Source organism: Homo sapiens, chromosome 8 (assembly GCF_000001405.40).
Source record: "Homo sapiens chromosome 8, GRCh38.p14 Primary Assembly".
In the NCBI taxonomy this organism is placed as follows: Eukaryota; Metazoa; Chordata; class Mammalia; order Primates; family Hominidae; genus Homo; species Homo sapiens.
This window is the reverse complement of record NC_000008.11, coordinates 120,523,637-120,551,415: the sequence shown is the minus strand read 5'-3', so window position 1 is coordinate 120,551,415 and position 27,779 is coordinate 120,523,637. Positions and strand designations below refer to the sequence as shown.

The following is a 27,779-nucleotide window of genomic DNA, read 5'->3' as shown; positions in this document are numbered from 1 at the left end:
TTTAACATGCAGTCTGACAGCTGTGCTCAACTGATACAGATGTTAAAATTTTAAAAAGGCAGGGTGAGCTATTTAATTTCTGGATTCAGAGTACAGAGTGCTCACCATTACACCATGGCACCTCACATGACCTATTTAATTTCTTTTTTTTTTTTTTTTTTGAGATGGAGTCTCACTGTGTCACCCAGTCTGGAGTGCAGTGGCACGATCTTGGCTCACTGCAACCTCCGCCTCCCAGGTTCAAGCAGTTTTCTGCCTCAGCCTCCCAAGTAGCTGGAATTACAGGTGCGTGCCACCATGTCCAGATAATTTTTGTATTTTTAGTACAGACGTTGGTTTCACCATCTTGGCCAGGCTGTCTTGAACTCCTGACCTCGTGATACATCCACCTCGGCCTCCCAAAGTGCTGGGATTACAGGAGTGAGCCACCGCGCCTGGCCGAGCTATTTAATTTCTTAAAGTAATTAAAGCTTAAACACTTTCAAGTCTAAAAACTTTTTTTTGAAACACAAACACTTTTGAGCAAATAAGAAAACACAGTATACATTTTTGCTCCTTGTAGATACCTTTTCTTAATGAATTTTTACCTTACCCTTACTCCCTTTAAAGCCTATGCTAGGCTTCAGAGAAATGCTTTCTGTTTTCTTTAGCCTCACTTGCATTTGAATCCTCTAGCAGCTTCTCAGTGACTCTTGCTCACTTATTATAAAATGCCCTCCTCCCTCCTGAATGAATTGAGCTTAATCTCTACATGTTAAATCCCCTTGTGTGGGCACCCATGCCAGCAGTCATTTCCCTTCACACTGTCCTAGACTCTACTCTCAATGAGATTCACAGAACTTCCATATCTCTCTTTTTTTTTTTTTTTTTTTTAAAGACAGAGTCTCGCACTGTTGCCCAGGCTGGAGTGCAGTGGTGCAATCTCAGCTCACTGCAATCTCTGCCTCCCAGATTCAGGCCATTCTCCTGCTTCAGCCTGCCGAGTAGCTGGGACTACAGGTGCATGCCACCATGCCAGGCTAATTTTTGTATTTTTAGTAGAGACGGGGTTTCCGCATGTTGGCCAGGCTGGTCTCAAACTTCTGACCTCAGGTGATCTGCCCGCCTTGGCCTCCCAAAGTGCTGGGATTACAGGTGTGAGGCACCATGCCTGGCCTTCCATATCTTTAATGACTCTTCCAACCTAAAGGCTTTTCAAATACACTTTTTCTTTGAGTTGGCATTGCAAACCGCCCCTCTTGCCTAATTTTAACTTTGTAAGTAAAAGAAAGCTCCTCCAAGTTATACAACAAGCTTGTTGCCAGAAATTCAACAGGTAATAATATGCTTTATTCTACTGATAATTTTGTTCCTACAGTATTTAGGTTTATAAGAGAACATAAGCTTTTGTATTTCCTCTGTGCAATTTTTATCTAGGGGTAACAAGCCTTTTGCCTAAGAAAATAACTCTTGTATCCACCATATGCTTAGACACCTGGCATTTCTCTAGTAAATTGTAAAGTGTTGCTTTCTGGATTAAAAGATAAGATTGAAAATGCAAATACCCTAGAAAGAAGTCACATTTACTAAATTAGACTTATGCTACCCTGCAAATGGTTGATATAAAAGTCTCTCCCAAAAGGAGATTGAGATATCGAGGAGTAGGAGAGACATGAAAGATCCCAGTGTTTAAAAGCAATGAATGAGAAGTAGGACCTAGCCCCTGCTCCGAAGGTGGCCCTCAGAGCACTTTGATTCTTCTTCTTTCAAGTCTGGCCTTTCAGAAAATATTTACTATGGAAGTCACATTTTATGCTGAGTGTAAGTTCAAAAGTCAGTGTGAAAATCTTGTGTGGTAAAAATCTCTCTTGAAAATCTCCCCTAAAGTGCAGTTCCATACCACTTCTCAAGAAGTCCAGCATTGCCAGTTCTTCCTTGAGCTTTATCAGATACACCACTGGCTATTGCTTCAACTGAGTTTCAGCTTGTTTGTTTGCATTTAGGGGCTACGTGCATGAAAAATTCCATACCCAGAAGTACATTCAATGCAGCCAGATGTTCAAACTACAAGAGACACAGGGGAGTGAAGCCTAACCCAGGAAATAATAGATTCTCAGTCTTATTTCATGCTTGTGCTGGGACATATAGATGCTCAGGAAAGGAATATTCAGAGAGAATTTTACACAGTATTTAAATTCTTTTCTCCGTCACATTTATTTATTTTTCTTATAGTTGAATTTGCACAAATTAAAGTCATGTTATTGAACTCCCTTGCATATTTGTCCAGATGCCCAGCTCTTGGGTGCTATCTTAACCTCATTGGAGAGGAGATGGCAGAAGAGCAGGGTATAGTGGAGCCCTTTGATTCCAGACCAGAAAAATGAGAGCAGATCACCAATTTGGGTCTTATACAAGGTGATATGCCAGGTGAATAAACTAGTCTCCATTTTGATGATGTCTCTCTCTCTCTCTCTCCAGGCTGGTCCATTCAGGTCCAGGAAAGGGATCACCCCAGGCTGGTGTGGATCTGTCCTTTGCAACGCGAACTGGTACCAGGCAAGGGATTGAAACACATCTCTTCAGAGCAGAGACCAGCAGGGACCTCTCCCACTGGACAAGGAGCATAGTACAGGGTTGCCACAATTCTGCTGAACTCATTGCTGAAATCAGCACTGGTGAGTACTGCAGTGAGCTACCAAGGACACATTGTTACGGGAAGATGAACCCTCTACTCCACCGGGGCCTTAAAGTAGTTTTCATCACTGGCCTCTGGGGATAGTTAAAATTCCAGAAGCAAATTTAAATTCTTCTAAATTAAGGAGGTCTATACCCTACTAAAATGTAACCTAAGGCTTTGATTATAGAAAGACTTATCCTACCTTCATTCAAGAAAAGTTGGTAAGTTGGATAGTCAGTTACAGTTTTCCTACCTGTAACCTCTGGGTGGCTTCCTGGAGGAATGAACTTTGAGGCATGAATGAGTAGTGCTCTTGGTTACAAACAACAGAAACTGATTCCGAGTAATCTATCACAGAATAAAATTATTGGAAATATATTAGGCAGTTAATAGGATTGATCAGAAAACAGGTGTGTGAGTCTTTTAGGCCTGCTATAAAGAAATGCCTGAGGCTGGGTAATTTATAAAGAAAAGAGGTTTACTTTGGCTCCCAGTTCTGCAGACTGTACAGGAAGCATGGTCCTGGCATCTGCTTCTGGTGAGGACCTCAGGAAGCTTCCAATTATGATGGAAGGCAAATGGGATATCACATGGCAATAGGAGAGGGGAGAGAGATAGAGAGGAGAGGAAAGTGCCGCACTATTTTAAACAACCAGGTCTCTCATGAATTCAAAGCAAGGGCTCACTCATTACTGAAAGGAGGAGGGAACCAAGCTATTCATGAAGGATCCGCCCCCAAGACCCAAACACCTTCCACCAAGCCCCACCTCCATACTGGGGATTACATTTCAACATGAGATTTGGAGGGGATAAAACATCCAAACTATATCAACTAGAGACCCAGGGCAGTAAAAAAGAGCAGGAGCCAAAGGCATTGAGCTGGGGATAAGCGGAGCAAAGGGACAGTTCTGGGAAGAGTGACCAGTGCCCCTGCCCTGGTGTGAATGAAGAGGCAGAGGCAGAATGGAAGTGCTGAGTGAGCACAGGCCACATTCACACAGAGCTCTTAGAAAGGGCAAGTCGGTGGTAGAAATGGGAGATGTGTGTAGAAGGAAGAACCCTTCTATAGTACAGTATGTATTAAGGACCTGCTATATGCCAGTCATTTAATGTGTCAGTAGTTTCATACTTTGAAAAACAAAGTTGTTTTTTTTTTTTTTTTTTTTTGAGACAGTGTTTTGCTCTTGTCACCTGGGCTGGAGTACAATAGCGTGATCTCACTGCGACCTCCATCTCACGGATTCAAGCAATTCTCCTGCCTCAGCCTCCTGAGTAGCTGGAATTACAGGCACATGCCACCATGCCCAGCTAATTTTTGTATTTTTTAGTAGAGATGGGGTTTTACCATGTTGGCCAGGCTGGTCTCGAACTCCTGACCTCAAGTGATCTATGTGCCTTGACTTCCCAAAGTGCTGGGATTACAGGCATGAGCCACCTCACCCATCCTGAAAAACAAACTTTTTATGGGTCCTAAAATCAATTAATTGATTCAGGCAAGACCAGCATTTTAAAAATGAAATAAAGTAGAATAGAATAATGGGTGTAAATATTGTTTCATTGTTTTGAAGAACTTTTGATTGCACTGTGTGTGTACCCCATGTGTGTCACAATACTTTGCCTATCTCATCCAATCCTTCCATTTCCCTTGTCAACCTGACAAATCAGGAAGCAAATTCTCAAAAAAGGTCAAATAACTTGCACGAGATCACACAACTAATAAATGACAGATCTGACTTCAACTCTAGGTTGTGTCACTCTGAAGTCCACTCTTTGTCCACTGTAGTTTCTACAGAGACAAGGAACTTCCCACAGTTATGCCACTGATCCAACAAAAATCAGTTCTGCTCAGGCTGCTGTGATCAATAACTTTCATGCCACTCTCCAAAACATACAGAGAGAAATGATGATAGACATCCAAACTTACATATATAGGTATATAGATAGATAATTTAAAATTTTTAATTGGGCAAAGATTAAATAAGGGACTGGAAACCCGGTGTGGTGGCTCACGCCTGTAATTCCAGCACTTTGGGAGGCTGAGGTGGATGGATCAGCTGAGGTGAGGAGTTCGAGATCAGCCCGGCCAACATGGTGAAACCCCGTCTCTACTAAAAATACAAAAATTAGCCAGGTGCCGTGGCATGTGCCTGTAATCCCAGCTACTTGGGAGGCAGGAAAATCGCTTGAACCCAGGAGGCAGAGGTTGCAGTGAGCCAAAATCATGCCACTGCACTCCAGACTGAGTGAAAAGAGTGAGACTGCATCTCAAAACAAAACAAAACAAAAAAAAGAGAATGGAAAAGTAATATCAAATCTTAGGTAACATTACTAGGTAAACGCATACCATGCAATCTTACACATTTGCTAAGTTGTACTCCATCCATATTTAACCCGGTGTTTTTCATCACTCAGGAAACTATACAATTAACAATGTCTGTAATGTTATTGTTCTTGATCCTGAAATCTAAGACAAATTCTTTCTGGTTCTGAGCTCTAAGGCCAACCTCTTCCAGGTCTCCTGCGGACATTCATCAAAGGGCATCAGGTGTCATAGTGGCTAGTACCCTCAACAAAAGTCTTCCAGTAAATCTAACTTTGAGTTTCATATAATAGTTGCTGTTTTCCCTTTTCTATTATGCTTTCTTGCCTATTCTTTCATTTCTCTCTGTCTCTGAGGAAGCAGTACAAAGTTATAGTCACAAGTAGGGGCTTTAAAGTCAGATAGGCCTGGATTCAAATTCCAGTTCTATTTCTTTCATAATCACTTACTGAATGTGTTAGTTTCCTCATCTACAAAAAGGAGAAAGTAATAAGACCTACCTCATAGGTTTAATAGGAATAACAGTACCTAGTACCTACCCCAGGGTTGTTGTCAATAAGTACGATTATTAGTTGTTGTTCTTGTAATTATTATCCCTAGACCTGTGCTGCCCAATATGCTAGCTTTAATCAGAGGTGGTGATTTAAATTAATTAAAATTTAATTAGTTCCTCAGTCGTGCTTGCCACATTTTAAGTGTTCAGCAGCCACATGGGCCTAACGCCTACTTCGCTGGGCAGTGGACAGTACAGATCTAGAACATTTCCATCACAGTAGAAAGCCCTGTTGTACGGCTCTGCTTTAGAGGAACAGGATTTCCCACAAGACATCTTAAGAACCATGCTTCCAAGCTTTAGCTGCACTGGAAACAATGATAACAATTTTATTTTGTTTCATTTTTAAAAGCCTCAATTTGCTAACCCCCAGTCCCACCTCTAGAGATTCATAGTCAGCAGTTCTAGGGTGGGGCCTGAGAATTTGCATTTAACAAGATTCCAGGTGGTTCTGATGCTGCTGGCCCATGGGAACACTCTTTGAGTCGTATAACGCCAGGGTGCAACTTCCTGGTCACCCAGGAGTACTCTTTTTTTGTTTTGAAACGGAGTTTTACTCTTGTTGCCCAGGCTGGAGTGCAATGGCATGATCTCGGCTCCCTGCAACCTCCGCCTCCCAGGTTCAAGGGATTCTCTTGCCTCAGCCTCCTGAGTTGCTGGGATTACAGATGCCTGCCACCATGCCTGGCTAATTTTTGTATTTTTAGTAGAGATGGGGTTTCACCGTGTTGGTCACGCTGGTCTCAAACGCCTGACCTCAAGTGATCCACCCACCTCGGCCTCCCAAAGTGCTGGGATTACAGGCATGAGCCACTGCATCTGGTCCCACCCAGTAGTATTCTGAAAGATGTGGCATGTGTTAACATGTAGTAGGGTTTTTCCAAATTTCCTCTGTTTATGCAATCATGAAAAATGAGATGTTTTGCAGAACTTCTATTGCAACATATCCAAGATAATCAGTGCCTTTTTGTAATTATCCTGAAACTAATTAGTGTCCTCAAATGTTTCCCATCATTGTTGAAGTCTTGTAGGAGTATCTTGGAAGCTTTTATTTTTGATGCCTACTCTGAATGGCAAAAAAAAAAAAAAAAAAAAAGTTTTGAATTTGAGAGTTGGAAGAAGCTTGAGCCACCTGAATACTAAGTTTAATAAGGTTACATGTGTAATAACAGAGAAGTTCAGACCCTGTGCAACCATTTGGGGAGTGTTGTAGGAAAGAATGAAGATGCTCAAAGGGATTTGGCTTAATTTACATTCTACAAATTTTGTAAAATCTTTCTCTAATAAGCTGAACTCTGCTTTGACAAGAAAACACGAGCTATTGATAGACTAATCAGTGGAGAATAGGAAATAATTCTGTGAAGTGAGCTAGCTGGGTGGTGGAGAAGTAAGTATGGAAATGACCCAAAGTGTGATCCAGTTATAATTTGAAAGATGCCTGCAGAGAGTTGGGGAAAGAGGTCTATGTTTTAATCAGGGCTTCAATTAACTTGATAATGTATTCAATTTATTCTGTATAGGTTGAGAACATATTCAGATAACCGATTCCATCCTATGTAGAATGGGATCACAAATACCCCAAATACTATTTGAGGTCAACCAGAGTATTTGAGGTCAGATACTCCAAAAATACCATTTGAAGTCAACTAGAATTAAAAGTAATCACAATCAGTTAATTCAGAATATCTGAAGGTATAGCTTTAACATTTATTTAAACATTGGGGAAAAGAACATCATTTTTACAGCCCATTCACCCACATGGTCTGCGGGTTGTAGAAATGAAGAGTATCAAAATGGAGTCAGTCATGGGACACATGCCTGTAATCCCAGCTACTCAGGAGACTGAGGCGGAAGGATCCTTTGAGCCCCAAGTTTGAGACCAACCTGGGTAACATAGCGTAGACCCCTGTCTCAAAAAAAAAAAAAATGGAGGGGTCAAGACAGGGAGGCAGTGCTATCAGCACAATCTCTATGCTACTGTCCTTAGACATCCTTGAATGGGAGGGCTGGCGGAGGGCAGGGTTCAGGGACTGTGCGCAGAAGGAGTTATAGACCTGTTAGATGAAAAGATCAGCCCTAGTTACAAGTCGAAAGATATCTGCAAGTCAGTCTGGAGAAGGGGCATATGTTTTAATCAGAGCTTCGATTAACAGCCACCGCATTCTGTGAACAATAGAAATCTCTATTTCTTCCCGGAAACTTTGGAGGCCTCCCCGCCTACTGTCATTATTCATGAGGTAGGAAAGCTGAGCGACTCTGTGCCCAGCTCTCTCCCCACATCCCTCCTTGTCCTGAGTGCCAGAGCATGAGAAGGGACACAGGACAGAGTGGAAAGAATTTGAATTTTGAAAGCCAAACAACCCGGGTAGTGATGTGTTCACCTCTCTGAGCTTTCCTTTTTCCACCTATAATATTGGGCCGTGTTCCAGCTTCAGAAGTGTGTGGTTTATAAAGCTGAGTGGAGTAAATGATGATGTACAGCAAGTTCTGAATCAATAAAGCTCTTGCTCTTATGCCTCCAAGCCCCATCCCCAGCAGTGAGTGTGCTGGTTTCCCTACATAACTTTTAGATGTAGATCAAAACCTGAGCCAATTTACTTGTCAGGTCTGTTAAATGTGGTGTTTTGTGAAGCAAAAAAATCCAATCTGATCCTTAATAACCTTTTTCAGAACTCTTTGATCAAGAGTTTTAAACATTCACAAGTCTTCCTAAATAGGAATTAGGATGCTGTGGCAGTCCCCTTGCCCAGCTCATAAGCTTAAAGAGCAGGACTCTTTTCCTAAACATAGTGAGAATCCCAGATAAAAGCTGGCACCGCACCTGCTCAAGAGGTTTTTGCTTTGTTTCTTTGGATGGGAGGGCACCATGTGGATACCACCCATGAGATTCCTGGATGCCGCACTCAGGGTGCTCCTCATGGAAGATGCCACATCTGAGGTCTGTCAGCAACAGCAGCTTTTCCAGGATCCAAAATCATCAGCAAAATTAAAAGAGCACCCCTCTCAATTTCTAAAAAGAGATTTTTTATACTATTAAAAAATAGACTATTTTTAAACTACTCATTCCTGACTTATGTATTTACGTTAGTTAATTTTGATGTCATGGGTGTATGCTGTCTTCTTTCACCAAGTGGTAGATATAATTGTGTGTGTGTGCGTGTGTGTGTGTGTGTGTGGATGATAAGGTTGGTGATTCAAAGGTGGCTTTATTTATTTAAAAAAAAATTTTTTTTGAGACAGAGTCTTGCTCTGTCGCCCAGGCTGGAGTACAGTGGAGCAATCTCGACTCACTGCAACCTCTGCCTCCCAAGTTCAAGCCATTCTCCTGCCTCAGCCTCCAGAGTAGCTGGGAATACAGGCACACACCACCATGTCTGGCTAATATTTGTATTTTTAGTAGAGATGGGGTTGCACCATATTGGCCAGGCTGGTCTCGAACTCCTGACCTCAAGTGATCTGCCCACCTCAGCCTCCAAAAGCTGGGATTACAGGTGTGAGCCAGCATGCCCACTGGCCTTATTTAAATCAAAGTTCTGTTTTTTCTGGCTTGAGACAAGGCCCACAGGGCCATTGGAAGGCAAGTACACCTATAGAGCTGTGTGTTGTTAGATGGCTGGATAAGGACTAGAACCCAGATAACATTCAGTAGATCCTAGAAAAAGGAATTTCTTTCCATTATTTTTCCTTAGTTCTATGGGGCTTTTAAAATTACAACACCAAAATAAATCCAAACAGAATATTTTCATGAACAATGACTATATTTTTATTTTAGCAAGAAATTCGTAGCTGATCGCTGGGACTGAGGAGGCAAGAAGTGAGTGATTGGGAAAATGGATTGATTGCCATGGTTCATACTTGTCTCTTTTTCTCTCTCTTTCTCTCTCAGCTTGCACCTACAAAAACCAGGAGTGCCGTTTGACCATACATTATGAGAATGGATTTTCTATTACCACTGAACCACAGGAGGGTGCCTTTCCCAAGACCATCATACAGTCTCCTTATGAAAAGCTCAAAATGTCTTCAGATGATGGAATCAGGATGCTGTATTTAGATTTTGGAGGCAAAGATGGAGAGATTGTAAGTGTACTTTTCTTTAGACAGTGTGATTTCATATATTAATATTTCATTATGCAACATAATGCTGCCTTACTCTTATTCGGCATTTGACTGCTAATGATGTGCTTGCAAGCCCATGTTTTATTTGATCCTTGAAAAACGGTGATTAGGTTCAATTATTTCAAACTTCTGTTCTTCAGTCTCATTTTCCATTAGAAGACTACATAAATATTTGAGTCAAAGGAAAGAATCCTTTACAAAGTTAGATTAAATTCTTATCAAATAGGGTCTCACCAGCTTAAAAAACGTACCCTGCAGTTTTGAAAAGTATCAAGCGTCTCATATAACCTTGGCATTGTGCTAGACGTTAGGGATGCAGCAAAGTAAAAGACATGGTCCCTACCGTCAGGGAAGTCTCCGAGGAGAGGACAGAGAGCAAAGAGACAGGAGGGGCCAGATGAGGAGCAGAGCAAAAGGGCAGCAGGAAAATGAAAAGAAACTGATCAACTCCACTGGAGTGGAGAGAGGGCCAGAGGAGGGCACAGAAGCATGGAACTGACGTCAAACAATATGCAACAAAATTAGCAAATTTATCCGTTAAAGTAACATACGTCTCGTCTCAATGCAAGTAGTCCATGTGTTGAAATTCATAATTTCCTGAGATGGTTTCTGCCTGCCATAATGAAAAAGTATATGACTTCACTTGCACAGAAGGGTGAGAATTGCACATTCTTATGCTCTCTAGCAAGTGTCATCCTTGGCATTTCAGGAAAACATAGCATCTCATTTAAGCTGTCAAATGTAGAACTTCAAAGAGGCCTTTGATTTCGTAATGACTAATCTCTGTTTAGGTCTTCCCTAGCCACTGGCTTACTCAATGGATTTGTTGGCTTTCAGGAAGGAAAGGGCAGAACACACCTAACAGACCCTAGGGACTTTTTATCTCTCAGAATTGCAGCCCCACTCTTCTAAATGATGCCATACTTCTGGCACCAAGACAGTACCAGGTTTCTTGCCATGAGCGCCACAGGCAGCCACGATGGAGGCCATTCCTCGTGGCTGACACTTGGTTTGCTGACATTCACTTTCTGAGAGTTATTTCTAGCCAAGCATTTTTCTAACTTTCAAAATGGATCTACAGAATTTTTATCAAATTTTGTTTGTATGTTTCAATCAGTAGGTTCAGTGTGAGGCATCCACTTGGAAATAAAGTAGTGACTCGAAAGTCCATTTTACTAAGACTATTTCTAATTCAGTTGCTGCTGTATCAATCACCCATCATGTACTTTTTCCTAAAGGTGACTACTCTCTAGCAAAGTGGAAAAGAACAAGAATCAGTCTCCTGCTTTATCCTTGGCTTAAAAATTCAAGGCTATTTTTGCCCATGAGGAAAATCACTTATGTCTAAATTTCAGCCTTTCTGCCTATAATTACAGCCTGACTTGGAAGATTTAGGAAGAACTGATTTTTACTGCCAGTACATTTAGTTGACGAGCTCAAATTCAGACACAGCCTCCTTCTCCTCTACCCCCTATGTCTGTTTAAGCAATCCTGGAGGTGGGCCACAGACCTTCCCAGTGTGGAGGGGGAAGGGACCAGAGATGAGCTGTAGGAAATGCAATAAACTGAGGGTCAAGACCTGGGTTCTCTTTCTGAGTCTGCAACAAACTCACCAACTCTGTTGGGGAAGTCCTTTCGTTTCTTTCTATCTCAGTCTCCCCATCCATAAAATACACGGATTGAAGTAGCTAATCTTTAATGTCCCTTTTTCAAAAGTTTCCTTCTGTGTTAGTGACATAGAATGTTGTGGTTAAGCCCTGGCTCTGGCATTAGACAGACTTGCATTTGAGTCCACACTTTTTATTTACTGTAAGATCTATATTTCAGAAAGTTTCATAACTTCCCTGAATCTTAGTTTCCCTATACAAAAAAATGGAGATAATAACAATAGCTTCTTCATTGGGATGCTGTAAGAGAGAATTAAATAAGATAGTGGATAGAAGATATTTAGTACAGTACCTGGCTCATAATGAGTACCACCTTAACTTTGGTAGCTATAATATGCTCGGGTTGTTCTGATTCTCCAACAGTGTCATCATCAGAACAAAACTGGGGACAGCAGAAGAGAATTGAGAACAACTCTCCCAATTTCCCTAAATTAGGTCAGGTGATAAAATTCAACTTCTGAAGGACTCTCCTGCTCAGACTGTAAGTCTTGCATGTGCCAGGTTCTCAAGGAACACATCAAGAAGCATAAGACTTCAGATGGTGCCTTCCCAGAGATGTGGCATACGTGCTTAAACAGTTCAAGACTAGAGGATGGTGACAACACAGCTGCTTAGCATGCGTTCTGTGTTTTACAGTTTACGAGGAGGTTTTACATATAGTAGCTCCTTTAACCCTCTAATGACTCTGTGAATTAGTAGGACTGAGAAGAATTTTAAGAGACTTATCCAAGATGGTACGTCTAAAAAGCGTCAGAACCAGGATTCAAACCTAATCTTCAGATGTGAAATTTAGTACTGCTTCATACTGTGTCAAATCCAACATGAATAAATATCACTATTGTGGTACCAAAAATAAATGGCTTAGACAGTCAAGAAGGGCAACATCAATATTTATGGTGTTGGTATATCTAAATTTCACAGGAACTATTTCGGAAAAAAGATATATGAGATGTAAGGAATAAGTTCAAAGAGTTGTTCCTTTATCTCATTGAGGGGCAGTGATTTTAGAGCATAATTGCTCCAGTCAACATTTAAAAGAAGGAAGTGCATATAGATTCGTTTGATGTGCAAATCACCCATCTACATCAAGCATTAATTTAAAATCGCTCATGCTCTCTTCTTTTTAAATTTCAGCAACTGGACCTTCATTCCTGCCCCAAGCCAATTGTTTTCATCATTCATTCCTTCCTGTCAGCTAAGATTACAAGACTGGGCTTGGTGGCCTGAAGACAGGGGTGACTTGCCTTTGAGAAAAGAAGGGCTGCAATGCCACCAGAGAACGTGATGTCAGACACCATCTGTAGTGAGCAGCGCACCAGATGTAGCGTGCTACAGTCAGCTTTAGCTCTCAAGAGTCGTATGTAACTGTCCCAGACTCCTCTGTCAGTTTCAGCAACTACAAGGGATACCCTGCGAAAGTACCATGAGAAATATCAGAGTAAAACTTTCTAGAACAGTACAAGGTTAAAGAGGTGAGGTGACGGGAAATACACAGCATAGCTTTGAAATAATGACAACCAAGGACATGACCATTAGAACAGCATGTGCAGATCTTAATCATCCCAGTTCCTAGGCAACTTGTTCACCAGGTACGCAAGGGCCGAATAGTTGAGAAATGGACATTCTTACCTACTCCTCCTAGCCCCCTATCCCCAGTAACAGTGATCCCTTTTCTTATTGTGATTTATTTCCTAATTCTTGCTGAGTTGACTTTCCCTTGTAGGAAAAGAAAAATATTTCAAATAGAAACCCACCTTTTATTTAAGTATGAAGCAGCTGTTACTTTTTAAAAAATGAATTATCTTTCAATGGTGTAGAATGATTCCAAAGTGTCTCCATTAGCATATACTGAGCAGGAATTAAATAAAGCATCAGATACTGATCTGAGCTGTAAGCTGGTAGAATCTGAGCCAAAGTAGACTGCTTAAATTGATAAGCTTTGCTAAAGAGTTGTATGCACAAAGGATGATTAATTCTGGGACTATACTCACACCAAGGTCTGCTGTCTTATAGCCAAGAATTACAGCTTTATTTATAGAGAGTGAATTATGGGTATTTTTTCAGAAAATATTGTCATCTGATATACACATAAAACAACTCACATTGTTGGAGTTAACTAATTATCCCCATTTCATGGTTTTCAGTGGCAACTTACTGACCCTTGTTTTTGCCTGTGCTTGTATGCATGCATTTTCAAGCAAGTAATAAAGCAGCCTCATTTAATTCTGGATAATGCTGGGTTTTACATATAGACTGAATGCTATAATCAAATCTATTGACAGTATCTGCAGTTCTTTCAGAATTCCAGGGAAATAATATAACGACCTGATATCTTTCTACAGGAATATTTTCAGACATTATATAGCACATTACTGATTTAATGCTTTTACTTTTATCTTTCAAAACAAATTCACTAAAAATAACACCTATTGATTTTGAAGTCACTTTTCTCAAACCTTGAAAATGAGCTCTAGGATCTCTATAAACATTTCTAACACTTTTCCTGTAGTTTACATAGACAGACATCTGTTGTTAGACCTGTGTGTTTTTAAAGAATCATATGTTAACAAATACCCATGCAAAGAGCTTCAAAAAGTGAAACCGTGTTAAAGGAACACAATTTTTCTCACTCAGACATATTTGTTTATTGAATTGCAAAGTTTTATTTTAAATCAGCATTTCCCCAAAGAATATATCATATGACGCTAGTTCCAAGGGGCTTGACTGAGTGGTGTTTTGCTGGGGGGAGACAGGGGTTTGTTAATACACTTTACTAAATACTGAGCTGAAAAATGTTAAATAGATTTCACGATTGCCTCCTTGAAGATTTTAAAGTTCATTGTGGTTCTTCAAGGCGAAATCCGGTGAACCATTCCTCACACTTACCTACAGGACTCTTTTCTAATGGAGCATCTTGTGAAGCTAGTGGGTTTTTTTGTTGTTGTTATTTGTTTTTTTTTTTTAATGCTTTAGAAAACACAGCTTTAGGATATTGACTTTTTGTTTATTTCTATTTTCAAATGCTGAAAAGTCAAGTCCCAGTTTGAATACCATAGAAAAGCTTTGATGCATTTGTAAATTATATTGCACTCTTTCACTATATATTTTCAAAATCACTGGAATGTTGTTATACAAGAGAATTATAATTGTGTATTGTAAATAACATATTAAAATACATATATTAATGCCAATAGTTAAATTCAACAATATGTAATCTAAGGTGCTCGGTTCTACATGAAGTATGAGTTAACTGCTCATAATTAAGTTGCCAAGATTCTATTATATATTTATAGACAAATTAAAATGATCATAATTACAAATATGATTTCTTTATCACTTAAGCTTTGGGCTGATTAATATCTGTGTGGGGGTCAATGGAAACTACATTCTCTACATTTATAAACATTTAATTTAATTATTTATATTTTAGGAAAATATATTTGAATAAAATTAATGCATTTTCTAGAGTAAATTAAAATGTTATTAGCAAGAAATAGAAAATTTGACTAAGATAATTGTGTATATGAATCATTTTTCCCCCAAGTTAAAATGTATCATAATAGAGAGGCTCTAATGAATCAATTTCCAATACTCATTTCTTTCTTATTTTGAATTCAAGTTACAATGACTTTACACTGTAGATTTTAATCTTGTCTGATGTGTGCTGGTGTGTATGACACAAACTCATAAGTCTGGATCATGCTTGGGTACAGTCAATGAATCAACCGAGTCACTTTGAGGAATTTGTTTTTGTCCAATTTGCTCTGTGCTCAATCCCATGAATTATTAAATTTACAATGTTTGTCCCCAAATGAAAACCAATATAAATGAATGATGTTTTAATCTGTACTTTATGGGAAGTTGCCTATTTGTCAGTAGATGTGGTTAAGTGAGTCCTCTGGTGCAGTGACATCCTTTTAAGCCATCTCATAGGGATTTAAAGAAGGCCAATAGGAATATAGATATTGGTTTTTCTTTCTCTGACTTGAACTAAGTAGGAGAAACCAAACCATAAACCTATTACAAACTACCCAGGCAGAGGCATTTACTTAATTCATCAACTAGTGCAATTAAAACCCTGAAAACACATGATCCTTGTTGACTCTGCTTGGTTGAAGCAGGAAAGAATGGTCTTGATGGTCAGAAAGTTTTAAAATTAATGGGCAGGGCCTTTCTGGACCCTGTTTTCCAAACACGTTAGATATTCCGTCTTGAGGGGATTGGAGTAGGCTACAGTGAGGGGGTAATTTTTGGATGTATCTGGACTTTTAAAAAATGTGCCTATATTTATAGCACCATGAATATTATGTAAAATTTATATATGAATTAAATAAATATTCACCTCTGATTTCCAGTGCAGAAGTTTATATTATATTCTAAATATATAATAGGGTGACCTGGACAGTGGTTTTACAATACTCATAGAAGAGCATGGGACTATGAAGACAAGTCTTACTATTCTCTTCCATGAAGTGCTGATGGATAAACGAGATGCCACCAGCAACATGTTTGTGTGTTCACTTATTTTTGGTTTTCTGAACTCATTTAAAAATATACGGGTTTGGCCAGGCACGGTGGCTCGCACCTGTATTCCCAGGACTTTGGGAGGCCGAGGCGGGCAGATCACCTGAGGTCAGGAGTTCGAGAGCAGCCTGGCCAACGTGACGAAACCGTGTCTCTCCTAAAAATGCAAAAATTAGCCGGGCCTGGTGGCAGGTGCCTGTAATCCCAGCTACTCAGGAGGCTGAGGCAGGAGAATTGCTTGAACCCAGGAAGCAGAGGTTGCAGTGAGCCGAGATCATGCCATTGCACTCCAGCCTGGGTGACAAGAGCAAGACTCCATCTCGAAAAAAAAAAAAAAGTTTTTTTTTTTCCCCATTGCAGCAAAGTTTAACAGATCCCTAGAATATTAATATTGTCCCCAAATTATGAAGTTGAATATAGTTTCAGGATGGGTCTTCACCTAGGGCTTAGGGCTCCCATTTTTAACTAATTTTTCATGGGATTTGATACATACACCAAGCTCCAAATACACAAATTATCTATTGTACTAGAATTTGGTTTTGTTTAAATTGCTTGTAATAAATGTCATGGACTGGGGTTTCAAAGTCTTTTTACTAGTTGAAACTTTAGTAATATTAAGATTAAATTTAGAACTATAGAATCACAATTTTGAAGAGATCTTAGAGGCTATCAACCATATTTTAGCCCAAAGTTTATTATTTATTTCTTTTTTTTTTTTAAAGGAATGAAGGGTTTTATTGAAAACAAAAGTACACTCCACAATGTGGGCCTGAGCATAGGGGGTCAAAGGCCCTGTTACAGAGTTTTTGTGAGTTTAAATACCCTCTACTTGGGGTACGCCCTATGTAAATGAAGAGGATGAAGTAAAGTTACAAAGTCATTTACTCGGTGTACACCCTATGGAGAGGCTATTTCCTGTTATAGCTGAAGTGTGAATCAGCCTTATGTTCCCTGACTCCAGACTCTATTTTCCTGCCTCATCTCTCCACTTAGAGATGTGATCCTCATAAATCTTTACGGGAGGCAGAGGGACCGATGGTCTTTTTTTCCGTAACTGTTTCATGCTGACTTAAGGCATAGTCTCTATCTATTGGGGATCACGGAACCCTCGCACTGCTCTGTCTAGTGGAGGCAGGGTAGTTTCTTGATGGCCAGGGGTGATGTCTTCACCTGGAACTGGCTGGAGCCTTTGTTGCCTGATCACCTGAAGCTTGATGGTCTCTTAGGGGTTCCAATGGGTGCACAGTTCCAAAAGTGTGGCGGGACCCTTCTCAGTTGCAAGACCATGAACCCAAAGTTCAAGGTCCTGAAGTTTTGTTGTAGTGTGGATGGCAAGGACAGTCTTTCTCTGAGGTTTCCAGAAGATTCGAACTGTAAAAAGCTTTCTTTTTTTTTTTTGAGACGTAGTCTCACTTTGTCACCCAGGCTAGAGTGCAGTGGCATGATCTCAGCTCACTGCAACCTCCACCTCCCAGGTTCAAGGGATTCTCCTGCCTCAGCCTCCTGAGTAGCTGGGATTACAGGCGCCTGCCACCAGGCCTGGCTAATTTTTGTAATTGTTAGTAGAGACAAGGTTTCACCATGTTAGCCAGGCTGGTCTCAAACTCCTGACCTCAGGTGATCCACCTGCCTCTGCCTCCCAAAGTGCTGGGATTACAGGTGTGAGCCACTGCGCACAGCCGTAAAAAGCTTTCTTTACCCTATTATTTCAACAGTACTAACTTAAGGTATATGATTTGCTAGTAATATAGCAACATTGTATACACATATAAAAATGAATATAAACCAATTAAAACTTTTTAAATATAAACCAATTAAAGCTTTTTAAAGTTTGTAGCACTTAAAGTCATCCCACACATACACCATGGCCCAGGTACTACATCTTTGGAAACACTGACCTTGTATAATATTCCATAAAACTCAGGAATCTTTTCCTGAACATCTCTTGAAATTATTCATCCAGCCTGAAATTGAAAATTTCCAGATATGAGCGGGAATTACCTCATCTTCCCAGGCAGGTCATTCCGCTGCTGGATGGGTAGAGATGTTTGAAAGTTCTTACATTGTTAGAGCCAAAACTTCTGGCTGGATGTGGTGGCTCACGACTATAATCCCAATGCTTTGGGAGGCTAAGGTCAGAGGATCACTTGAGGCCAGGAGTTCAAGAGTTCGAGACCAGCCTGGACAAAATAGCGAGACTGCATCTTTAAAACAAAACAAAACAAAACAAATTTCTGTCTGCCTAACTTTCAGTCATGACCCTGGTTCTACCCTAGAAAATATTGGAAGTCCAATTTCCTGTCCACGTGAATATCCTATATAAAAAGACAAGTCAAGGCTGGACGCTACTAAGTAATGTAAAGTGATCTGAAAATGGCTTTCAATAGGGCATTTAAAATTCTTCATTTTCATCTTTAAAGAACTACAGTTACCAAGATTAAAACCTTCTACAATACTTAGTGGTGAAATATCTGGCAATAATTGAGAGAGCAATTTGGCAATATCCATACAAATTTAAAAAGACATGTACCTCTTGACTTGTGGGAATTTATTCTAGAGATGTAACTGTATGAGTGCACAAAGGCTAATGTCTAACGATCATCTCTGCAGCGTTGCTTGCAACAAGACCATTGAAAAAGTCAGTGTGACCATCACTAGCTAAATAAATCCTGGTACAGAGGTATGCTTGAATATTCTGCAACTGTTACAAAGAATGGTCGATCTTTAAGTGCTAATATGGGCAAAATCTCTAAGTGCTAGCTCTGTGAGGTGCATATCTCCCGTTTTTTGTTTGTTTTCAATGGTTCTCCAGAATAGTCAAACTACACCCTCCACACACTCCATGGGGGCATTTTGGAAATCTGTGGTAATGCTCTTTGGTTGTCACAATAATTGGGGGAAGGGGGAACATTATTGGCATTTAATGAAGAAGACCCAGAGTTGGTAGATATAATGCTGATGACAGCCCTACATCCAATGGAACCATTTCCCACACAATTTTTGAGTGTCCTGGGTTATTTGTGTTGGTGAAAAACCTGTTTGATAATCCGAGTCTAGACCTTGACTACCTTTTATATATGAAAACATTTTGACAGATTCAATATATTCTGATTTTCTAGATATGCAACTACCATGTATATGAAAGATTGTGTTTCATTTTGCTCAGGGCATTATCAAAAGGTATTAATATTTTACAAAAACAAGTCTGTGTGGTACCTGAGTTACAAACAACTGACTCAGTACCACTTCAGTCATGGCTAATTGGTGTAAAAGTCAAACATTTGACTACTTCATTTTGTCTTTTAGTGTAATCATACTCCAGCATCTCCATATTGAAATGCATACTGTTTTATTATAATTACTTTGCTTTTCCAAAAATTTTACCTTATGGTTAAGAGATAGCAATTTTTAAGAGCCTAAGTATGTATAGGTTAGATTACTGTATAGGACACATCCTACGTATATCCTCAGATTCCTTCAGTGCCATCATGGCGTCTCCTAAACTTCCAGCTGTTTACCCAACCTTAGGCACCACCATAGCTGGATCTGCTTGACCTAACTGTTTAGCCACTTAGAGCCAACCAATTGCTTGCCTGGAAATGTTGCCTCCCCTCCCATCTCTGTTTGGTGGCTGCCAGGCAGCCAGGCAGAGGAGACACATACTTCAATTTCTGAGTTCTATCATCAGTTCCAGACTTGGATGGACAGCACACTGCAGGGCACAGGAGCTGGATTCCAGAGCAGCTGCTGGGTAATAACCTGAGCAAGGCAGAACTATAGGGGATTTAAATCTTTGTGGGGCCAAACAGGAGTCAGTAACAAGGAGAAGCCGAGCAAATAAATAATCCTCTTCTTCCTCTTTTTTTTTTTTTGAGACCATAGTCTCACTCTGTCACCCAGGCTGGAGTGCAGTGGTGCAATCTCAGCTCACTGCACCCTTCCACCTCTTGGGTTCAAGCTATTCTCCTGCTCGGCCTCCCAAGTAGCTGGGATTACAGGCACACGCCACCACCCGCCCCCTCCTAATTTTTGTGTGTGTGTTTTTTTAATAGACACGGGGTTTCACCATGTTGGCCAGGCTGATCTCAAACTCCTGACCTCAAGTGATTTGCCTCCCTCGGCCTCCCAAAGTGATGAGATTACAGGCGTGAGCCACCACACCCGGCCTCTTCTTCCTCTTTTTATGTACTTATGTGAGGCATGATTTCTCTGTACACCCTCTATCCTGAGAGACATCCCATGTGACTGAGAAGATGCCTACTTAGTGGTTGGCTGTGTCTCTCTGGGCCTCATGAAGCACTAATGTCACCTTGCCTTGCTTTCCTGCCTTCCCTGCCTTTTTCCCCCTTTTTCATCATCTCCATGTCTCCCAAATAAAGCATTAGCACAAATCCTTGCCTCAGATTTTGTTTTCTAGGAAACTTGGCCTAAGACCATTATTTATGAATTCCACCTTGTGACGGCAAAGGAGACATTAAAAGTACTGCTTATAGAAGGGGTGTTTGGGCCTGATAAGTTGAGAAACAATGGACACATATAATATGCTTGTACATGTATTAAAATGTCTGGAAGGATACATTTAAAAAATGTAAAAAGGCTTCTTACTATCAGTTACTGCTGAGAAATGGGACTAGGGATGATGGGTATGACCTTAATACCCTTCTAGATTACATGAACTTCTTAAATGTGCATTTCAAAATTCCCTTTTAAAAAAGGTTCTTTTTTTATGGCTAATGTTCTGATATGGTGAATAATATATTTAGCCTGTCTATAAAATCCTGAATAATAGAACTATTTGAATGTGTGACCAGAAATCAATTATCATGTCACCTACAGTCCTCTAAATTACACTAAATTTGATTTCACTGGGGGAAGCAAGTCTAATACCTCATTAAAATGACTAAACCATGTCCAAGGAGAGTATGGAATCACATTTGAATGATAACAGAAAAGCCGCAGGAACCTCTCTTTTGGCCTTTTATTCTCTATTATTTTTTTCCTTGTACATAAATGAGGCTTTTTCTTGGAAGAGTGTAAGAGTCCATAGAGGGAACATTGCTCAGACAGTGTCACAGCAAGAAGAGCTGGGCAGAGGTGGGAGATGGTGAAAAATAAGAAAGCCCTATGGAGACAAGAGGCAGGATAGGAAACTGACACACAATCAGACCATCCATTGCCTGTTGGCAGCATGGTCAGGAAAAGGCATCCCATGGACAAAGCCCCTCCTGCTGACTCTGATCTCAGAGGTGGAGACGCTCCTGCTCTCATGCTTGGCCTCATGGCTGTGATTCTGCCTTGGCTTGGACCAGGGCCTGGGAATGTTGAAAGAAAACGTTCTTCTCAAGAAACAAAGCCAGTGATATTTTCAGCAACTTTCCTGTATAATTCTTTGGATGAATAAAGCCTATTTACTCCCAAGAACTCAAAGGCAGTTCCAGGAAACACTAAGAATAATGCTTCATTAATGAATTGTAGCTCCCCTGCTTCCTAATTCTCAGCCGCACAAGAGAGTAAGGAACTTCTTCCTCTGCAAGTTTCTGGGTCTCATGAAAAAGGGAAACGCAGTCCAAAAAGTAAGCAATTTCATTTATCTTCAACTACGGCCTTCAAACTAAGGCCTTAAAAAATGAAGTTTTTGAAACTTTCTTTCTTGCACTTGGCCTCTCAATGAATTTTTGGATGTGAGTGGAAGTTAATGCTTATGTACAATAAGCTACCTCACAATCTAGTGGCTTAGAACACTGCAACATATTATTTCTCATTATTCTGAGGGTTGGCTGGGCAGCTCTTTACTGTTTTGCCTGGGCTCACTCATGTGGCCGTATTTGTCTGGAGCATGCACTAGGCTGGAAGATCCCAGATGCCTCACTCACATGCCTGCCAGCTGGTGTGGCTGTCAGGGAACCTCTGTTCTCTTCCATATGGCCTCTCACCTTCTAATAGGCTAGACCAGTTCTCTTATGTGGCTCCCTTATATGCAGGACAAGGTTCTACAAGAGCAAAAGAGAAGCTATAAGGTCCTCAAGGCCTAGGTTCCAGCTCACAGCATGTCATTTATGCCACATTCTACTGGTCAAAGAAAGTCACATTGCCAGCTCAGATGCAAGGACTAGGGGAACAGATTCCATCTCTTGGTGGGAGGAGCTCAAAGCTTTGTGGCTATATTTGACCATATTCTACCCTTTGGACACAATTATTTTCATTTGTTCCACATGAAAAATAATTAATACAGCCTGAAGTCCAATATTTCATGACCATTGGGTAGGGATAACTCTCTTAGGGTGTGGCTTCTTAAAATCTACAATATTGTGACCTACAAAAACCAAGTTAACTGCCTTCCATACATCCGAAATACAATGGTGAGGCAGAGATAGGATAACTGCAAGAGATGGGACTAGTCACTAGTTCACAGTAATTCTGAAATCCAGCTAGGAAGGGACGACTTTATTCGAGATCTTCTGTATGTGGTTTTGCTTAAAGTTGCAGTTTCCAAGAACCTATCAATGACTTGAGGATTTACTGTAGTCCAAGGATGCAGCTGATGAGTTTTCTTATCCTGCTTCCTGTCCATTGAAATTTGGAGGCCTCTTTTCAGTTTGATACAAATTTCTTACCATTTTACGAGATTTCTGGTGCCAAGAAAAGTCAATGGGGAAAGAATAGTCTTTTCACTAAATAGTGCTGGAACAACAGGATATCTGTATGCAAAGGAATGAAGCTGTATCCCTTCACAAAATTAAGTCTATACAAAAATTAAGTCAAAATGGGTCATAGACCTAAATTCAGGAACTAAACAATAAAGTAAAAAACTCACAGAATGGGAGTAAATATTTGCAAATTGTATATCTGATTGGAAACTAGAATCCAGAATATATAAAGAAGTCTTACAATTCAACAAAAGACAAATAACCCAAATAAAAAATGGTCAAAAGATCTGAGTGAACATTTCTTCAAATAAGATATGTAAGCAGCCAGAAAACACATGAAAAGATGCTTAACATCATTAGCTATCAGGTAAATGCAAATCAAAACCACAATGAGATACTACTTCATATCATTGTCTTGTGAAAAAAGACAAATAACGAGTGTTGGCAAGATGTGGAGAAACCAGAACCCTCATCCATTGCTGGTGGGAATGTCAAGTGGTATAGCTACTTTGGAAAACAGTCTGTCATTTTCTCAAAAACTTAACCGTGGAGTCACCATATATCCCAGCAATTCCCCTCTTAGGCGTATAAACCCAAGATAACAGAAAATATTTGCCCATGTGCAAAACTTGAACACAAATATCCATGGCAGCACTATTAATAATACCAAAAAAAGGAATCAACCCAAATGCCCATCAACTAATAAATGGATAAACAAAATGTAGCAGATTCATACATTATTCAGCTATAAAAAGGGATGAAGAACTGATACATGTTACAACATGAACCTTGAAAACCTTATGCTAAGGGAAAGAAGCCAGACACAAAAGGCCATATATTGTACATACCGTATGAGTCAATTTATATGAAATATCCTAGAATAGGCAAATCCATAGGGACAGAAAGCAGATTAATGACCAATGTCCTCACCACACACACACATACACACACACACACACCAATGTGTGATGTGGTAATCGTCAGATTGTGGTAATCGTTTCACAATGTATATGTATATCAAATAATCATGTTGTACACCTTGAATATGTACAATTTTTATTTGTTAATTATACCTCAATAAAGCTGAAGAAAAAAATGTAGATTAGTGGTTGCTAGGGAATGATGGAAAGAAAAATAATAAATACTGCCAACAGATACGGGGTTTCCATTTGGAGTGATGAAATGTTCTGGAATTAGATGTGGGTGATGATTGCACACTTTGTGAATGGACTAAAACCACTGAATTATACACTTTAAAGGACGAATTCTAGTGTATATGATTACATTTCAACTAAAAGAGACTTTGTGGGCTTTCTGTGTACCAAGTTATAGTCTACTGATGAAAGCCATACCCACCATTCTTTTCATGACAGGTCTCTCTTTATTGACAGTGTCGGGTGCTGTGAAACACTACCCTTTAGATTCTTAAAAGCTCTTTTGTCTAGCTGAGAGGGTCTACTTTTAAATCATTAAGTATTTTAAATGTCTTAATAAAGGATTATATAGCCACACCTCTGGCTTGATTCTTTTTCTGAGGCTATTTCTGACTTAGAAAATTTTTTGCCACTGGGGATACTGAAAGTGGAAAATCATTTTATTTTCCAACCCAGAATATCCTAAGCCCTTCATATCTCCTCTAAATTCTGCCAGAAAATGGAACATTTCTTGAATTTGTTTATCTATCTTTTCCTATACCTTATCATATTCAGCTAAACAAACAAATAAATGGCCATTGATACTTCCAACATTGTCTGGGAATATCCCTAATTAGATCCATGAGTTCATTAGGAAGAATTTCTCTTTTCTGGGTTATTTAGGCAACAGTTTGCTAAATGTACCACTACTATGTAACACATCTGAGCTACTTGGGCCCAGTGACTCCCTGTTTCCCAAACAAATGGCCTCAAATGGTTGAGGTGGTTAATGTTTATAATTCCAGCACTTTGGGAGGCTGAGGCAGTAGGATCACTTGAGGCCAGGAGTTCAAGACCAGCCTAGGCAACATATCAAGACCACATCTCTACAAAAAAAAAAAAAAAAATTCCAGGCAAGGCAGTGCTTGCCTATAATCCCAGCTACTCAGGAAGCTACTTGGGATTGTTTGAGCCAGGGAGGTCAAGGCTGCAGTGAGCTGTGATCCTGCCACTGCACTCCAGCCTAGGCAACAGAGCAAGACCCTCTTCCAACCCCACCCACCAATAAAAAGAGATTTCCAAATGCATCATATAGTCATCAAGACATGGTAAAGTCTGTTTCAAAATTGTATTCATTCTAGTTGGTGTTTAGAGGCATCTTATTATGGTTTTAATTTGCATTCCTTTGATGACTGATGATGTTGAGCATCTTTTCACGTGCTTATTGCCATTCCTATATCCTCTTTCATGAAATGTTTTTTTCAAATATTTTGCCCATTTAAAAAATTTGGGTTATGTCTTATCATTAAGCTGTTAAGAGTGTCTCACATATTCTAGATAAAAGTCCTTTGTCAGATATATGCATTGCAAATAATTTCTCCCAGTCTGTGGGTTACATTTTCACTCTCCTAGTGGTGCCTTTCCAAGAGGAGCTTTTAGATTTTGAAGTAAAATTTATTTTTTTTTAATTTTATGGTTTGTACTTTTTGTGTCCTTTCTAAGAATCCTTGTTTTATTCCAAGAGTGATGAAGATTTTTCTGTGTTTTCCTGTGTAGGTTTTATGGTTTTGGATTTTAAATATAAAATTATGATCCATATCACATTAATAGTTGCAAATGGTAGGAGGTTATGGTTGAAGGTAACTTATTTTTCCATATGGATGGATATCCCCTTATTCAAGTTCAATTTTTTAAAAGACCTTTTTTACTTCAATGAAAAGTTTGATATATAGGTATACCTATAAGCTTTTCTTCTGTTCCACTGACCTATATGCTTATTCTAATTCCAATAGCAAATTGTCTTCATTACTGTAACTTTATAGTAAGTCTTAAAGTGAAGAAACAAGTCTCCCAACTTTGTTCTTTTGTTACAAAGTTATTTGGCTATCCTATGTCCTTTTAATAAGTGATTACATCAGTTTAGTTTTTTCATTTATACTTTTGCTTTCAATCAGGTTAACTGATGTAATTTACATATGCTAAATTTCAAACAACATTACAAAAGTTTATCCAGCATGTTCACAAAAAGAAATATTTTAAATGGTATCAGGCTTACAGGTTATCTTCAAACTTGTTTTCATGTATATTATTAAGTACGGCAGAAAACCAGGATCCTTGGAAGAAAGGAATAAAAACAAATAAAAAAATGGATACACCAACACTTGCAGAGATCCTATGTTTGGAGAAGCAGTGTGGTTCAACAAATGTAAGTTCTCATTCTGGCTCTGTAATTGCTGAGCTATGTGATCCTGGATATGACACTTAATCTTGCTATACTTCAATTTCTTACCTATAAAATGGGAAATAGCTACTTAATATGGCTTCAGTGAGATCATGTAAAATGATTAAGATAATGTCTGTCATATAGTGCTTAATAAATGTTGGCCATGATTATCATCTTTTCATGATCCCTGTGAAGTCAGCATTGTTTACCCCATTTTTAGAAGAGCAAATGGACGTTATGAGAGTTTTTCTTTCCTATGACCATTACTCTGTTCCCAGGAATGTTTTCAAATTGCCTGATCTAATCTGTTGTACTTTAAAACCAACTGGCTCCTCTCATGTTATAAATGTTTATTAGTCTGATTAAATAAATTTACATTTAAAAACGCCTATTGGTACAGCATTTTTTTTTTTCCTTTTGAGATAGGGTCGCGATCTTTCTCACAGGTTGGAGAACAGTGGCGAAATCATGGCTCACTGCAGCCTTGACCTTCTAGGATCAAGCAATCCTCCCACTTCAGCCTCCTAAGTAGCTTAAGACCCCTCCTACATAGCTACAGGTACGTGCCACCATGTGCAGCTAATTAAATTTTTTTAGAGATGGGGTCTCACTATGTTGCCAAGGCTGGTCTCAAACTCCTAGCCTCAACCAATCCTCCTTTCTCAACCTCCCAAAGTGCTGGGATTACAGGTATGAGCCACTATGCCCAGCCATGGTACAGCATTTCAAAAGACAATTTTGCTAACCTAATAGAGTATTCAAATATTGGCTCACTCTTGCAATTCCTATGAGAGTGAACAATTCAGACAAAAAGGAGCATTTCAAATCAGCAATTCCACGGAACCCTAGAAATGCTTTTTGAAAGCATTCACTTTGAATTCAACATAGACAAGCAAAGCATATGTGATAAGCAAATTTCTTTAATTGGAAGAAACTATAAAGATGGTAGATTTGATTACATAAAAACGAAAAATTTCAGAACACTATAAACAAAAAGACAAAGGGCCAATATCCTTAATATATAAGAATATGTATGAACAAGTAAGAAAAAGTCAAAAACAGTTCAAAAGAAAAATGGGCAAAAGCTAGAAATAAACAGTTACAGAGATGCCAACATGTTTTAAAAAAATTCACCCTTACTATTTTCAGTCATCAAAAAGGGAAATGGGGACTCTGCCGGTGGGAGTTCATATTGGTCTTTCAGGAGGGCAATTTAAAAACATTTACAAAAAAGCTTAAGACCCAAAAATTCCCCTCCTAAAAAAGCATACTAGGAAAATAGTGACATACTGGGAAGATTCATTAAAGTGTTATGTGTTACAGGGAAAAACAGAATCTTTATGTCCAATAATGGGTGATTAAACAAACTGTGGTTCATTTGCATTAGGCAGTTATTAAAATAATGACATAAAATTCACAACATATTGTTATGTGAAAAGCAGGTTATTAATTAATACACACATACACACATATGCATAACAACATATTATATGATTCCAATTTTGAAAGTATTTAAAAATAATTACATATATTTTTAAAATACAGCAGTTATGTCTAGACAGTAGGGGGGAATGTGGTAATTTTTTTTCATTCTTCCTTGTATTTTCTGCATTTTCCAAATTTTCTACCATGGGAAAAGACAATTTTTTTCCTGGGAGACTGTACTTAGTGTCATTTTCATTATGTCTTATTTTCACAATTTATCTTGTTTCTTCATTTTTGATACCAAATGAACATTAATAGCCCCAACAATGGTGGCTCTAGGGCTGAGGCCTGTTTGCATTTTTTTTGCCAATACGCTCTAAATTGGGAGCAGTCCAATAAACTATGTTGTTGGAACACATGGGAAAAGCCACTGGCAATATCTTACTTAAGTCTAAGAAATGTAAGGCAGGCCTAACTTAGTACACCTAACAACAAAGACATGAAATCCAAAAAG

General features: G+C 39.3%; 1 protein-coding gene across 3 annotated transcripts in view; it reads left to right on the top strand.

The window, feature by feature from the left end:
• The window catches only part of SNTB1 (syntrophin beta 1), a 276,291-nt gene extending 260,631 nt beyond the window's left edge, over positions 1–15,660 (top strand). For all 3 annotated transcript variants that reach the window (NM_021021.4, XM_047422126.1, XM_047422127.1), the window contains exons 5-7: positions 2,458–2,654; positions 9,416–9,606; positions 12,447–15,660. In NM_021021.4, the coding sequence (NP_066301.1) occupies positions 2,458–2,654; positions 9,416–9,606; positions 12,447–12,539 (481 nt within the window). In that variant the 3' untranslated portion in view covers positions 12,540–15,660. The remainder of the gene's footprint in view (positions 1–2,457; positions 2,655–9,415; positions 9,607–12,446) is intronic.